This window comes from Homo sapiens, chromosome 7, assembly GCF_000001405.40.
Source record: "Homo sapiens chromosome 7, GRCh38.p14 Primary Assembly".
NCBI lineage: Eukaryota > Metazoa > Chordata > Mammalia > Primates > Hominidae > Homo > Homo sapiens.
The window spans coordinates 158669744-158686756 of record NC_000007.14 but is presented as its reverse complement, the minus strand read 5'-3'; the positions used below and the strand labels follow the sequence as shown (position 1 = coordinate 158686756).

General features: G+C 40.4%; 1 protein-coding gene across 19 annotated transcripts in view; it reads left to right on the top strand.

Annotated features, from left to right (window-relative positions):
- Positions 1 to 17013, top strand: part of NCAPG2 (non-SMC condensin II complex subunit G2) — a 73636-nt gene that overhangs the window by 18048 nt on the left and 38575 nt on the right. For 18 of the 19 annotated variants that reach the window (XM_047420547.1, XM_017012376.3, XM_005249547.4 and 15 more), the window contains 6 exons: positions 516 to 585; positions 3371 to 3457; positions 5941 to 6036; positions 6672 to 6797; positions 11101 to 11280; positions 15091 to 15243. In XM_047420547.1, coding sequence (XP_047276503.1) covers positions 516 to 585; positions 3371 to 3457; positions 5941 to 6036; positions 6672 to 6797; positions 11101 to 11280; positions 15091 to 15243 — 712 coding nt within the window. The remainder of the gene's footprint in view (positions 1 to 515; positions 586 to 3370; positions 3458 to 5940; positions 6037 to 6671; positions 6798 to 11100; positions 11281 to 15090; positions 15244 to 17013) is intronic. The other variant, NR_104054.2, reaches the window with a different exon arrangement.

The following is a 17013-nucleotide window of genomic DNA, read 5'->3' as shown; positions in this document are numbered from 1 at the left end:
GATTCTGGATCTCTGATTGCAAAGCTCCTGTTGTATACTAGATTGCTTTTTCATATTTCCTCATCTTCAGAATATTTGAGTTGAACTAATAGATTTCTAAGCTTATGATTCTTAAGTTGATACTGGTATTTTAGGGCTTCTTGTACCTCAGGAATTGGTAGCGTGAAAAGTCCAACGTGACTCCAAGTCGACAATTTATTTATATTTAAATATTTTTGACTTTAGAATTTTGTTCTGGACTTATGCACTCATAGTTTCACAGAAAATAGTAAAGTTTTGGGTAAGCCTTGACTGAGAAGGATGAAATAGTTCGTCACTTCAGTTTCCTTTCCCAAAACCTTCTCCGTTTTCTACTTTTTGCTACAGGTAGATAACCTATTTCTATAGATGATTTGCAAAGCACTAGTTTAAACTGAGTTTCTTCTTCACTATGGTTGGAGAGTAGCTGAAATGATACATGTTGAAAGAATAATTCTTAAAATTTGCATTAAAACTATTTTGATCTTTTTATATAGGTCTTTGATGGTATACATTGCAGAAATTTATTTCAGAGCTTGGAAAAAGGCTTCAGGGAAAATACTGGAGGTATTTTCATTTTTTTAAATGTTAACACTTATTTTTATTATATTTTAGTTACTAAATAAGTAGTCAAAGAAGGGTTATTTAAGATCCATGTTTATGCACTCTGTCAAAATAAAGCCAAATAATGAAAATCTATTTGATGGGCAATCCAGTCACTTGCTAAGATGTGTGGTTTGTGGGAGGTAGGACTGTGCTCTTTCAGCTGGGAGGGAGCTCTGACCCTGATCTTTCCAGCCATGTGCTCACTGGGCATTTGGAACGTGGCCAGTCTGAATCAAGATGTGTTGTAAGTGTAAGAAACATACCAGATTTCAAAGACTTCATATGGAAATGAGAATATAAAATATCTCAGTACTTTTTAAAAATGTTGAGTGAATGTTGAAATGTTAGTGGTTTGGATGTATTAGGCGAAATGTGGTAGTTGGCCCTTTGTGGGTTTCGCATCCATGGATTCAATCAACCAAGGATCGAAAATATTTGGGAAAAAAATGCATTGTACTTAACATGTACAGACTTTTTTTTCCTTGTCATCAGTCCCTACACATATAGTGTCACAACTATTTCCATAACATTGACACTGTATTAAGTATTATAAGTAATCTAGAGATGATTTAAAGTGTGCAGGAGTGCATAGGTTATATGCAGATACTACTCCACTTTATATGAGGAATTTGAGCATCCGCAGATTCTGGTCTCTGAGGGAGGTCCTAGAACTGATCCCCCATGGATACCAAGGGATGACTGTGTAATATTGAAGTAATTTTACCTGTTTCTTTTGTCTGTTTTTAATGCAGCCACTAGAAAATTTAAAATTGCATCTGTGGCTTGCATTCAGTTTCTATTGGATAGTGCCGTTCAGGGACTTCAAGTCACCTCTTTTAGTTACATTATTTTTGAGAATTTGAAGATATTTTCTTTGATTATGGGTAACTCTGGTGAATACATAGTATTTATGTTATGAAGATAGGGCTATGTAATCCACAATCCCAACTCAACATCCAGATACCCTTTTGGACAAAAAAGTGTGTTTGTTTTCCCTTATATTTTTCTTATACCAGGTTCTCAATCATTTTATTTTTCTCTGAGAATAAAATTTTTACTCTAGGTCAGAAAGGAGCCTCTCACAACCCTGTGTTCTATCCTGACTTTTCATTCCTCTTTGGAGAGCAGGCCCTGCACTGATGGGCAGAGGGAGGAACCTGCAGAGTGGACAGAGGCTGCCCCATGTCTGGGTTTACTTCCATCCTCTCTGCTCCTCTGCACAACTTACACTTGATTTGTATTGCCAAGGTTTATCACTGACTTCTAGAAAATAAAAAATAGGCTGGGCGTGGTAGCTCACGCCTGTAATCCCAGCACTTTGGGAGGCCGAGGAGGGTGGATCACCTGAGGTCAGGAGTTTGAGACCAGCCTGGCCAACATGGCGAGACCCTGTCTCTACAGAAAAATAAACAAAATAAAAACTATTTGACTAGATGTATACAAAATTGGTATCAACAATGTGTATTTCTCAGTCTCACTCCATTCCTCTCTGCCCTCCCTCTCTTTAAGTTTTTCAGGCAAATTCCAGACCTGACATTTCATTTCTACATACTACTTTATTCATCTCTCAAAAATGTGCTTATGGAATGCCATTGTAAGACCTAAAAATGTGACAGTAAATCCTTGGTATTTTTAAAAATAATCAAGCCACATTAAAATTTTTCCAGTGATCTCAAATGTCTCCTTAGAGTTTTTTTGAATTAGGACTCAACAAGTTGCCCACATGGCATTTGCTTGTTATACCATTAAAATCGCTTATTCTAGAGCATTCCTCCCTCCTTTCCTTTTCTTAAAATCTATGCCATTGGCATGTGAGGAAACTGGACCAGTTGTCCTGTAGAATGTTGGCATACTGATAGTTAGCTCTAAAGGTTTGGATTCAACTTTTATGGTACAAATAACTTCCCAGGTAGTGCTGTGTATCTCATCTTTCATTGCAAGTCAGACAATGTGTGGTTGTCCCACATTAAGTGATGCTAAGTGACTTCAGGTGAAGGAAATATTTTCAAATATAATGGGGAAGAGGAACTTGAGCATCTGCAGACTCTGGTTTGTATTAGTATTAACCCTAGGAGCGTTTCCTTAGGTCCTTCCTCAAAGCCACAGAAATCCTGCTCATGTGTGAGGGTGGGCACAGAGTACAGGTACAGACATAGGGTCCACTGGGGTTTTTTGCTACTCTTAGAGGCTAGGCCTTTTCCCAGTTGCTGCACTCTGAGTACCATTAGTGCATGGGGCTGATGAAGGGCTTCCCACACACCTTCCTTGCTCAGCCCTTGTCAACAGTGGCCCTGAAATATCTTATTTACAGTTTCCGCCGTAGAGGTAGTTCTGTTTTTGTTCTGTGGAGGCTGTTGGAACAAATCCAGTCTTCTGAAGGTTGTCCAGGTCAGTGATGAGTCAGAAGAGGGGGCTCCACACTCACCATGCACTCAGTCTCTGAAATTTGTCTGATTTGAACTAGCCTTGAGTGGTAGGTGGAATCTTACATTGCCATTTGGCACAGATTTGATATTTCATCAAATAAAAGAGAAGCAAAGCATTCTCCTTGCTATAAGAAAACCAAAGGGATTCTAAGAAGCATGGACTTAAAATAAGAAAGCTTGGACAAAAGGGTCCAGGTTTTTTTCTCATGAAATATAAGATGGACAGGTCAGACTCTTTGTACTCAAATGCCGCACTGCTTGTCAGGTCGTCAGTAGGACACACACACACCAAGTGCTTTGCATTGCATTTGTTATTTCAGGCGATTGAAAATGATTGCATCCAGGACTTCATGTTCCACGGGATACACCTTCCGAGGAGGTCTCCAGTGCATTCCAAAGTGCGGGAGGTAAGATTGTGAACAGATTGTTTTTGAAATAATGTTTCCTCTGTTTTGTTTTTAGATAATTGTTTTGGTTAAATTTTAAAATTAAGCTTTCACAGACATCAGTTAGGGGGATTTCTCAGAACCTTGATATTTGATGTCTGGCAGTTTTATTCCTGCCACCAAAGTTTTAATGAGGAAAGCAAAGGTGTATTGTTGAGATGGTTAGTATTGTATTTGAATGACCTTAAATTCAATTCTCTGTCTTGAGATTTTCCAGAATTATTGGTTTCTAATGGCCACTATCATTTTTTTCAAAGATCCTAGAGGGTATTTGAAATTATTTTTATTATTTTACTTATTAAATTCCAATTTTGCTCTTCTGCAAACCAAATGAATAAATGTTTTGATTGTTTCTTTTGATATTTTGTTCTGTAAAGGTAATCTCAGAATTTAGATTAATCTCAGAATTTAGATATGAACTTTACCTTTATATTAATAATTGTAAATGGACTGACTAGATAAGATTCTATCATCAGTGCCATTACTACACTGATAGGTGTTTGATGGATCTTAAGGATCCTGGCAGGAGGAATGGGAAAATCTGGTCTGCTGTGTTTATTTAAATTAAGCAGCTGCTGTTGATCAGTGTTCTAACCCATGGGATGCCTTGTTTGCTTGCTGTTAGTTTTGGCAACCATATGTCAAGAAACCAAGTGAATAAAGACTACTCATTTCTTTGTTTTGTTGTAGAGTGAAACTACTGCTATTTATAGAATGTAAATATACTAATTATATTAATTTTGAGTGGATAAGAAAATGTTTCTTTGCATTATTGATGATTTAATTTCAGTTACACAAGGATAAAGAACCCAGAGATTTATCTAGACTACTGAGTTTTCCAGAGGATTTAAAAATCGTGATTGCATATATTTAGGATAAATATATTCAATGAACTCCCTGTCCTACCCACCCCCCACCCCCATCCCAGTGTGGCTTTATTTAGTTGTAGTCAGTTTGGGTTATTTATTTCACATAGATGAGTTGGTGTTTCAAATTTTATTTAGTAGAATTGCATTAAACTATGTATTTATGTAAACTATGTTTATGTAAACTATATGTGTAGTTTATATGTAAACTATGTATGTTTTCATATGTTATTTTTGCTGTGGTAGTCTGAGTAATTAAGATATTATAAGTATAGATATCACTATTTGGTAAATTTATGGAAAAATGCACAAAAAGAATTTAAAGGGAGAATATTAGATTTCACTCAAGTGAAACGTGTTACTCAACTCCAAGTAATTGTTTTTGTCACAACTTATAACACATTATAGTTTCTTCCTCAAATTGTTTTTATTTGATAACTATTAAATTTATCTGATAAGTCATTTTATTGATATTGAAAGAGGTTTCAGGCAGTGCTTCAGACATCATTTGAAATTAAAAATCTCAACATTGTTGATGAAAATGTTCTAGAATTAGACAGTAACAATGGTAGCATAGCTCTAAATATACTGAAAGCCACTGAATTGTATACTTTAAAACAGTAGATTTTGTGGCATGTGAATTAAGTCTTAAGCTGTTTAGAAAATTTTTCTATGAAGCAAGTGTACTGTTGATATCAAAGTTTGATAGTATTGTACACAAAAAGCAAACTATAGACTAATGTCACTTATCACCATCAATACAAACTACAAAATAATAATCAGAAAAAAATAATCCCCATACTGCAGCTCTTCTAGGGTTAAGTTGATACAAGCTCACTTAAAGTGTAGGCTGTTCTTTTACAGCCTGTTTAATCTTTCAAAATTTTCATGTTTCACTAATAAAGTTTAGCCCCAAAAGGTGTGAATAGAGAAGTAAGGCAAAATTAATTGTTGTTAGGGACATGAGGCTACAAAGAATTTTGGGAAGATTCTGACTGGAAAAGAAGTGAGTAGGAAAAGAAGAATGAAAGCTACAAGAATGATCATTTTCTGATTTTTTCATAAGTTTTGGGAGGAACTTGATACCTAAATTAATCTCATACAGTGAGGGGTCACTAAGTGTGACACCTCCTTGTTACAAAGTTATGAAACAGTTACCACATGTTGGTAATAAAGAGGTTAGTTAATGTTTTGGAACAAGCGTGAGCTCTTAGAACCATTCAGGAATCTCCCCTTTTCCATTTTATCCTGAAGGTCAGAGGTTTAAACGAGTCTTTTTTTGAGGTTATGTGGCTGTTGGCAGAATAGCAGAAACTAGAACCCAAACCATTTTATAGCCCAAGGCCATTAATCTTTTTATTTCAGCCGTAGATTCTTTCTTGTGATTGACTGCATTTACTACTGTCCTATATCCATTGAAGTTACTCCTGCTGAAGAATTGTCATGACATGTGGATGCCAGCCAGAGCCTACTTGTGGTGGAGAGAACAATTCTCCCTGTTGCTCTTTCCAAATGCCATTTTATTTTATTTATTTATTTTTTTGTTAATGCCTTCCTTTTCCTTTTTTTGGTCCTTAGGTTCTGAGTTACTTTCACCATCAAAAGAAAGTTCGGCAGGGAGTGGAAGAGATGCTTTATAGATTATATAAGCCCATCCTTTGGAGAGGATTAAAGGTATACATTTCAAATAGTTTATCCGTGTTTGGAATGTACTACTTGTGCTTTTGAATTTAGCAAACTCTAAGTCCAAATTACAATAAAATAGTAAAGATAAGGCTGAAGACTGAATGCTTTCTGAAATTTTTGAACAAATGTTTTTTTCTTTTATTAAAAGCATTTCTTGGTTTCATTTAACTGGAAATCTGGATTGGTTTAGTGCTAACTACACAGTTATTTTTAAGTAACCATGTTTAGGGAAGGAGATTAGAGGCATGCCGTAAAGCAAACCAGCTGAGGCTGTGGGTGGTTTGCCGCGCTGGCCTGGGCTGTCCAGGGCTGTCCAGATCCTTGAGATCTAACAAACACACAATAACTTTCAGTGCAGACAACCTGGTATCTTTAGTGAGGATGTGGGGTGACCACTTCTTAGTGACATGAAGTGGGCTTTGAAGTGAGGAAGCTTTATCTTTTCATAGTATCTGTTGACATTGAACTGAGCAATGTTTGGTCAATTTAAACGTTATAATTGTCTGTAATTTGAAAATAAATCTGTATCAAGATAATTAAAGTGTTACTTTGGGAACACTGTACTTAAGCCTTCGTATGTTAACTCTTTGGGATTCTGAGATACTCTTCTTTTATTATTATAGGCCAGAAACTCTGAAGTTCGATCAAATGCTGCATTGTTGTTTGTTGAAGCATTTCCTATTAGGGATCCAAACCTTCATGCTATTGAAATGGATAGTGAAATCCAGAAACAGTTTGAAGAGCTCTATGTACGTACTTCAGGTGGTCAAGCTTCTTACAGATATCAGCTTTGTCCAGGCTGTGGCATGTACTGCTTGTGTGTGTCCCCACCTCCCCTGTAACCGCCAGAGCTCTGCTCCCACATGGCATGGTTTCTAAACCTGGACTGTTCTTCAGAGAGATGCCACTTCTCCCTGGGGCCTTCTATAACAGCGTGGACCTGTGGTGTCTTTTTCTACTTTTGGGACATTTAATTATTTATTACTATGTGTGGTTTTAAACATTTTATGCATATGCCTGTTGTTTCCCCAATGGAGAGGTGGTGTCATATGGTGGGTAAAGCACATGCTCTGGTGTCAGCCCCCTGCTCTCTGGGGTCAGAGTCCACCACTCTCACTTAATAGGTATGTGGCTTTGGGCAAGTCACTTAACTTCTCTGTGTCTTTCTCTGTAAGTGTGATTGCGATATTGCCTATCCTAAAGGTGTTGGGTAGCATAATGAGCAAACACTGGTTATATTTCAGGGCAAGCCTACAAATAATGCCTGTGGCAGGTGATTTTTCAGATGAGGTGCTAGGATGTTAAGATGCGGCATTTATTTCCAAGGAGTATTGTGGATTCTTTTCATCTACTTAGTCTGTATTTCCTAACACAGCTTACTTAAGCAGTGCATACTATCTACTGTCCTAAGTAGTAAAGTTTTAGGAAACAATGACAACAAAGTGCTGTTGTAATGCTGTTGCCTGTGGTGCTTCTGAAGTGCTCCCTTTTTTCTTTTTCTTTTCTAACTTATGGAAAACCTGACATGCAGAAAGTTAAAGTAATAGTATAATAGGCCTGCACAGTGGCTTACGCCTGTAATCCCAGCGCTGTGGGAGGGCAAGGTAGGAGGACTATTTGAGGCCAGGAATTTGAGACCAGTCTGGGCAACATAGTGAGACCTCGTCTCTACAAAAAGTTAAAAACAACAACAACAACAAACAAAAAAACAGCCCGGTGTGGTGGCACACGCCTGTGGTCCCAGCTACTTGGGAGGCTTCAGCCCAGGAGGTCAAGTCTACAGTGAGCCATGATCACACAACTGCACCCCAGCCTGGGTGACAGAGTGAGACCCTGTCTCAAAAAATAAAAAGAAAAAAAAGTGTAATAAATATCTGTATACTTCTTCAAGCACACACACACATCCCTAAATGAAGTCATTAGTATTTTGCTGTGTACATTATGTATATTTATCTACAATTCCTTTTTTTTTTTTTAAAGATTCCTTATTTTTAAATTTTATTTTATTTTATTTTATTTTAGAGACAGAGTCGTGCTCTGTCTCCCAGCCTGGAGTCCAGTGGCGTGATCATCACTCACTGCAGCCTCAAATGGGAGGATCGCTTGAACCCAGGAGGTCAAGGCTACAGTGAACCATGATTATACTACTGCACTCCAGCCTGGGCGATAGAGCGAGACCCTGACTCTTATTTTAAAAAAAGAAAAAAATTTTGTGGACAACAAAATTTTAATCTCATGTAATTTTCACATGCCATAAAATGTTAATTTGTTCATTTTTTCCAACCATTAAGAAATATGAACCATTCTTAGCACTGTGGGCTGTGTAGGAGCAGGTACCAGCTGGGTCTGGCCTGCGGCATTGTTCACCAAAGCTGGCTGAGAGCTCCTGTCCCTGGTGCTGCACCTCTTGAGGCTTTAACTCAACCTTTAGATGGAAATTAGGCTCTATCATGAGGAGACAAAGGAGGTGATCTGATAAATAAGTAAGAGCAGTGGTTATTTCCTGTATCCTCTGTGTACCTTAACTGTTCTCTCATGCTTTTTGCTTTATTGGTATTTCTTAAACCTGAGTAATATGGAGAACCTTTTTTTTTTTTTTAAAATAAAAAAGGGTCTAGGTGCAGTGGTTCACGCCTGTAATCCCAACACTTTGAGAGGCCGAGGAAGAAGGATTGCTTGAGCAATCCTGGGCAACATGGCGAAACCCCATCTATACCAATTAAAAAAAAAATCAGCTGGGCACTGTGGTGCATGCCTATAGTCTCAGCTACTAGGGAGGCTGAGGTGGGAGGATCACTTGAGGCTGGAAGGTCAAGGCTGCAGTGAGCTGACATTGTGCCACTATACTCCAGCCTGGGTGACAGAGCAAGACCCTGTTTCAAAAAAGAAAAGGATTCTTTGAATGTTTTTAAATGAAGGGATGCGACAGAAACAGCATTGCAAGTCATGTGCTGTCATTTTGAGTGCTTCTCTGGTGATGGTGTAATTGCAAACAGGTCTGGACACTGAATCCAGAGAGGATGTGGTTGTAAGGTGATTGTCTGGAATATATTTTTATTATTTTTAAAGATTATTATTGAAAGTAATTAATAGAAAACAAAATGTATAAAAACTTCTGAATCCCAAGGACAGGCCTTCAGATTCCTAAAGTTCTTTTCTGTTTTTTTTTTTTTTTTTTTTTTTGCTTTATTTTTATCATCTTTTTTTCTTCCTATTTGCTTTTTCTTAAATGACTGGTCATCTTTTCCATTCTTATGTTTGGATAAAGGATTGGGTTGGTAAGGTAGTTAGCAGGTGTTCTTCTCTAGTTGTGTAGAGTCATGTCTCAGGTTTGCCTAAATGGGCAGAGTGCAACAGCAGGAGGACTTCCCTTAGTTTCTGTGGAGGAAGAGCAGGCAGGCAGGTGACCCCTCGGTACCCAAGTACAAAGGGCCCTTTCCTTCTGGGTGGCATTGCTCTTCCTTCTTTTGCTTTTCTGGAGGCTTAGAGTTATTGCTGGCTCTTTTTTTGTTCTTCTTTGTCTGTTGCCCAGTATCTCTTCCTGGCAGATGACACACGTGGTTTAGAAACCATTTGTAAGACTTTATCCTGGGGAGCACATCCTTGCCCCTGAACTCCTGCTGGCCTGTATGCCTCATCAGGGGTTGTTTGCAGCCCTTGCCACAAACTCTTCTCTGTAACCTGGGCTCTGGGTTCGGGGCTGATGTGAGCTCTCTGAGGTCACAGCCTCCTGTCTTTAGAGCACCCTTACCTAGGAATGTCTAGGTTACAACCTTTTATGCTCTTTTCTCCATGAATCTATTCCTTATTCCCTCTCTTACAGAAATTTCTCAGTCTTTTTGTTTCTATTATTGCTAATAGAAATTGATCATTTTGGTCAAATTTTGGGGAAGAGATGGGGTAAATGCTTAATTTTAACTTGAAATCTTTTTTTCTAATTAAAGTAGTAAGAATTCTGTTGTGTTTTTCAACGTTTCTAATAGAAAATGTCATGCATAATAAAAAAGAGACTGGAGTAATAACCCCTGTGTGCCCACAACACAGTTTTACTCATTGCTGACTAATCCCAATCTGATTTCTTCTTCCCCTGTCTTGAAACATATTTGGGACATCATATCATTTCAGCTCTAAATGGGTCAGAAGGTATTGATAAAAGATAATTTTTTTTTTAATCATGCCATGATCACAGCTAAAGATAAATTAACGATGATTGCTTAGTGTCTTTGGGTACCCATTCGTTGCTCTCATTTTCTCGTTTTGTTTGAATGTTTCTCTAACTAAGGCCCATGTGCTATGACTAACTGACATGTTGCTTAAGTCTCCTGGACCACGAGCTCTCTTGCCATAATCTTTTTGTGTTTTGTTTTCTTAAAACTTGCTGTTTTTGTTGTCATTGAAGAAGCCAAATTATTCTATGACGTTTCCAGCAGTCTGGATTTTATAGAACCCATTCCTGTGATGCCATTAGTGTGTCCCTCTGCCCTTTGTGTTTCCTATAAATTGGTAGTTAAATGAGAGAGTTGATCCGATTCATGTATTTGGGATTTTGTTTCGTGAGATTATTTCCCTGTTGATGTCGAATACTCCCATCGGGGTACTTATTGCCTCATTGTCTGTTTTTGAATTTTTAGTACCACTGACGATCATGGCCTGGATTAGTTCATTACAAGTAGAATTATTTTATTCTGGGCTCTAAAATGCATTACAGCATTTTAGAATTCAAAAGCGTGGTGTACGTGGGCCATGCCTAATCTGAACACCTGCCATGGTCAGCTGAGTGTGCAGGTCTCACTGAATGACAGAGCTGGTTTTGAGGCCCTGCTGTCAGGGGATGTGGCACATGAGGCACCCCATGTTTCTGGCTTGATCTTAAATACTCTGCTTTAGAAGCGATAGCAAGTAATCTCAGGTCTAGGAATCCATATGTGTCCAGTATTTCTATGCTCAAAGTTTCTCTAAGTTACGAATCCCTGAAGTGCTCACGTGTGAAGCAGATGTGGATTTCGGGAAATAAGTCAAGGTTTTTAAGCCTTTCTCCCCTCCTACTTATAGAGCCTTTTAGAAGATCCTTACCCGATGGTCCGTTCCACAGGGATCCTTGGTGTTTGTAAAATAACTTCTAAGTACTGGGAAATGATGCCCCCGACCATTCTTATTGACCTCCTGAAGAAGGTGACTGGGGAACTGGCATTTGACACGAGCTCAGCTGATGTTCGTTGTTCTGTCTTTAAGGTAAGATTTTTTAAATTATGTAAGTAATGTTTATTTGTTGTAGAATAATTAGAAAAACAGGAAAAGAAAAAGATTAAAATAATACCTGTAATCCTACTCCACAAAGATAACATTTTTGACCTGTCATATATCCAAAGTAAGGTTTTTAAAAACCAAATTCAAAGTGTTTTCTACAAAAAATGATGACTTGAACTAATAGTAGTTTTTAGTGTAAGGGGGGAAGGGGTCCCAGTACTGTTGAATTTATTCTCTTTTGTCTCTTTGTGTAATGTCTTGGAGAAATATGCTTTGCATAGAATCTTGTACATATAATATATTTGGATTCACTTAAGTAATTTTTTAGTATCTCCCACCTATCACCAACACCAATTGTAGCTCAAACCTTGCAAGAAGAACTCACATTTTATTTTCTAAGCAACCTGAACTGTCTTCAGGTTTATAGAAATTGTAATATGTATGTTAGATGGTAGTGGGGTGGCCACTGATCTTTTTTCCCCCTGACTTTGGTGAGAAAATGTGAAACGGCCAGGTGTGGAATGAACCAGAGGGAGGGGGCTACCCAGGCTGCAAAAGCAAATGCTCTTGGAGAGAGGGTTTGGAGAATCTGTAAAGCTCTCAGAGAGGCCAATTCAGAGAATTTCTTGAGGTACTGTGAGATGACCTAAGAAGAACTGATCTCACTTTCCTGCTACTGGAATCAACTGTTTAGAAGCTCTGACTCCCCTGAGCACAAAGCAGGTGACTTCCTCTTCTCTCAGGTGCAAAACAGACATTTTCAGAGCAGCTCTTGGGCCTCACGGCCATGCCCTAGTGGGAGCTTCTGTGGATCTTCCTCCCCACTTCTCAGGAACCTGCTTGCTTATTTTCTGTATTGGAAAAGTTTTCTGGGCTAGGTGCAGTGGCTCACACCTGTAATCCCAGCACTTTGGGAGGCCAAGACAGGTGGATTGCTTGAGTTCACGAGCTCGAGACCAGCCTGAGCGGAGTGGTGAAACCCTGTCTCTACAAAAAGTACAAAAAAAAGTAGCTGGGCATGGTGGTGTGTACCTGTAGTCCCAGCTACTTGAGAGGCAGAGGTGGGAGGATGGCTTGAGCGTGGGAAGCAGAGGTTGCAGTGAGCCAAGATTGTGCCACTGCACTCCAGCTTGGGTGATAGAGCCAGACCTTGTCTCAAAAAAAAAAAAAAAATTTTTTTTTTTCTGTGCATATTCAACCTCTCCCTCTCAGCAGTGTCCTTCCTATAGGTTTGTAAGCATGTTCGCATCTCCATCCGAGGCAGAGGCTCCCCCATTTCTCCTCATTGCAGAGAAAGATATTCTGAGGAGCATGTCTGTGTTTGTTGAGTGATCAGACATTTGGGCTCATGCCTGTTGCTCTGCAGTAATTGTTAGGAGCAACCTTCTTACTCTCAAAAGAGTCTTAGTTTAGTGGTCACCTAAATAGTCTATCTCCATTTCCTGCAACTCCCCAGTCTACTATAAAGCGTCTTCTATGTCCACTACTCCAGTAAAGCATTTCTAGCCAAGGTGAATTTCACATGACCACTTCTCTAGACTTTTTTGACCTCTGAGCAGAATTCATTCCTACACCATTCCCTTGTCCCTCTGGATGTTGTGGTAAAACCTCAGTCCCTCTTCTTCCTCCTGGTCTTTGGTTGAATACTCTTACTCTTCAAGTGCTGGCTGAGGAGCCAGGGAGCCGTGCGCCTCTTGCACTGTGACGGGCTCCCCCTGGCTATCCGGTTTCCAGCCTTGCTCTGACTGTGGTTTGCATGCGGCTGGTCCCAGTTTACAGACAAGCGTCTTCTTTGAGAGCTCTGCTCAGGTGACCAGCAGGTAGCTCTGAGATTCAGACTATCCACAGCATGCAGATTAGGAAGTGCTCCTGGGGTGCACACCTGTGTAAGGGAAGGGACATTAAGCCGTGACACAGCCTGGGAAAGCCTCGTGCAGACCCACAGGCAGCTCTGGAGCCAGCAGAGCCCTTCAGACTGGGCCCATGCTGATTCACTATTGCACACTGGCTGCCCGGGAAGAAGAAGGCATTTTCTTCAGGAGGCCATCCCCAAGCATGCTGATGGCGAGGGCAGCTCAGCAGCCCCAGGACAGCTGGGGTGAGTGCTTCATTTCTGATGGGGCCTTGGTTGTACGTCATAGCAACCACCCTGTCTCCACTGCTGAGTTGATGACCATCTTTTCCAAACCTGCTGCCATCCAAGAGTTTTATTTATTTTCCTCTCTCCCCCTTGCTCCTCTTTCTCCTTGAAGTGATGATGCCATCTGCTGAGTCACTCACTTGCGTGCTGTTCTTGCTTCTTCCTCCTTCACCCAAGTCCTGTCTTTCCCTTCCTGGTGTCTGAGGTTCACCTGCTCCTTCCTGTTGCTGTCATCCAAAGTGGCTGCAGCTCCCTGGCCGGTCTTCTCTTGGTCCTGACCTTCTGACCACCGTCTGGTGCTTTCATGCTTCTGAGGAAACCCTTGCAGGGCCACTCTGAGATGCCTCCCTTGCCCAGATGGGTCATCTGTGAGGAGGGATGAGTGGGCTCTGGAGTAGAGGAAGAGTCAGCAGAGAATCTACAGAAGAAAGACCAGAGAAGTTGAAGGAGAATTAGGAGAACACAGTGTTATGGCAGGGGCTACAGGGGCTGTGGGATTGGGGGAACTGGCAAGGTAGGTGGTGGCCGGTGGCCGGTGTCCAGTGGGAGGGCAGGATCAAGAGGAGGCTGTGGACACAGGTGGAGCAGATGATTCAAATCAGTCTGCCCTTGAGTGCTTTGGAAGAAGAGCTGTATATACTTGAAATTTTTTGAAAAAATTATCGTCATTAAAATATATGTGGCCAGGCATGATGGCTCACGCCTGTAGTCCCAGCACTTTGGGAGGCCGAGGCGGGCAGATCACGAGGTCAGGAGATCGAGACCATCCTGGCTAACAAGGTAAAACCCCGTCTCTACTAAAAATACAAAAATTAGCCAGGCGTGGTGGCGGGCGCCTGTAGTCTCAGCTACTTGGGGGGCTGAGGCAGGAGAATGGCATGAACCCGGGAGGCAGAGCTTGCAGTGAACCAAGATTGTGCCCCTGCACTCCAGCCTGGGCAACGGAGTGAGACTCCGTCTCAAAAAAAAAAAAAAAAAAAAAAAAAAAAAAAATATATATATATATATATATATATATATATATATATACACACACACACACATGTGTTTGGAATACCGTATATACTTTTAATAAAAACCTGTGAAAATGTCCTTTCTCCTGAAACTAGATGGAGAAGGCAGTAGAGCTTAAGCAGTGCTGGAGTTTGGGGGCCCAGACTGAGCCTTGGCCTGTGGAGGAGTGCCACCTGCTACGTGGCCACTGTAGTCAGCCGAGAGTGCGTTCGAGTCACACACGCTGGCTCTGTTCCCTCCAATCCTCATGCAGTATCGAGTCAGGAAATGCAGAGTTCTTGGACTTGGTGCCTTTGGAGACCATGTGACCAGTAGTTATTCTGTGTTTCTTTCAACTCAAAAATTCTCTAAAATTTAGCTGAGAGAGAGCATTAAAGATTTCTTTTATAATTGCTTTAATCTTATTTGAACAAAACAATGGATGGACCAAATAGCAGTGGTTGGACCTATACTGGTTCATTAAAAGTATGCCTTTTATATGAAATAGTTCTAGAAAAAGTGGTATTTTCCATAGGTATATTTATTTCACTAGTAGTTCTAATAAAGATGGAACCGAATGTTTTCTTTAATGAAGTTTTCCTACCTGAACCTTTCATTGGCATGTTCTGATTTTGAATTGTTTATCTTTCTCTCTGTTGCAGTGTCTGCCAATGATTTTGGACAACAAACTGAGCCACCCATTGTTAGAGCAGCTCCTTCCAGCTCTCAGATACAGTCTCCACGACAATTCGGAGAAAGTGAGGGTAGCTTTTGTGGACATGCTGTTGAAGATCAAAGCTGTGAGGGCTGCTAAGGTAGGATGAATAGGGCTTTTTTACTTATGACATGAAATAGGGACATGTGTTCATCAAACAGAAAGAAAGTAGTTTTAATTCCACATTTTAAACTGATAACTGATATGATTTGACCAGTTATCTCTGTCAAAAATGTTATTTTGTGTTTTTCATCAAAGGTTCTAGAAATATTATCAATGTGTTTTCTTTCTGAAAGACATTAATGTAAGCACCCCTGCCTTCCATTGTATTTTCGTCATGTATGAAGGTTTTCAGTGAGATATTTGGTGTAATATTTGGATACTTGGCACCTGGTGAGCACTTCTGGAGAGTGTCTAGTATGAGCCACCCCCCACCCCCACCCCCCTGCCCCACACAGAGTGAAGGAGGGAGACACCTGCTTTATGAGGAGAGTGTCTAGTATGAGCCACCCCCCACCCCCACCCCCCTGCCCCACACAGAGTGAAGGAGGGAGACACCCACTTTATGAGAGATGTGCGTTTTGATGTTTTATAAACTACTGAAGTGATTGTTCTCTTTCAGCTCTAGTTCTCTTCAGCTTTTTGCCAAGAATATTGCTTATAATGTTCTTGACTTCATTATTATTTGGTACCATTGTGAACTTTCTCCACACAGTAGCTTCTCAGAAATTTACTTTGAGTGCTGTTCTGCTATGGCACAGGATCCAGAAACAGACTGATAACGCCAGAGTGTAGGGTCAGCCAGACAGATTTGTGTATTCATAAGAGAAGTGGTGCCGTGTGGCCATGAAAAGAACAAGGAGGAACTTTTTGTCGGGCTTCCTTGGAAAGGCCTCTAAGATATGGAAGTATAAAAGCATAGTGTAGATGTGGTCCTGGTGTGCTACCAGCTGAATAAAATGGAGACATATATATAAGTAAATATTGCTCAGATATGGGTAAAATATCCTTTGAAGAGAACGAGAATTTAGTGTCAGTTGCTTAGGGTGATGAGGTGAGGGGGAGACAGGGTCCCACTCTGATGCCCAGGCTAGAGTGCTGGGGTGTGATCTTGGTTCACTGCAACCTCAAGCCATCATCCCTCCTGAGCCTCCCAAGTGGCTAGGACCACAGGAGTGTGCCACCATGTCTGGCTGATTTTTGTAGTTTTTGTAGGGATGAGGTTTCCCCATGTTGCCCAGGCTGGTCTCAAACTCCTGGGCTCAAGCGATCTGCCCACCTTGGCCTCCCAAAGTGCTGGGATTACAGGTGTGAGCCACCGTGCCCAGCCAATGATGGGGATCTTGTCACTGAATGTAGTACATATTACGTTGTGTGTTTTGAGTTTTGATCTGTGAATTTTTTTATATTAGAAGAAAACAAAGGATATTTTGAGTGACCAATGTAGTATTAACACCCAATGTCATATGCAATTGAGTTACTTTGATGCTTTTGTTGAAAATCATTGACCATGTGTGTGGTCCTTTTCTGGACTCTGTCCTGTTGTGTTGATCCGTTTATTCTGTGTGGATCTTACAGTAAGTCTTGCAGTGTGCATTCTCCAGCTTTGCTGTTCTTCCAGAATTCTTTGGCTACTTCAGGTCTTTTGCATTTCATATAAACTTTAGAGTAACAGCCGGGTGAGGTGGCTAACACCTGTAATCCCAGCACTTTGGGAAGCTGAGGTGGGAGGATCACTTAAGCTCAGAAGTGTGAGACCAGCCTGGGCAACATAGTGAGACCTTATCTCTTAAAAAAATGTAGAGTAAGCATGTCAATTTTTTTTTTTTTTTTTTTTTTTTTTTTGAGACAGAGTCTCGCTCTGTCACCC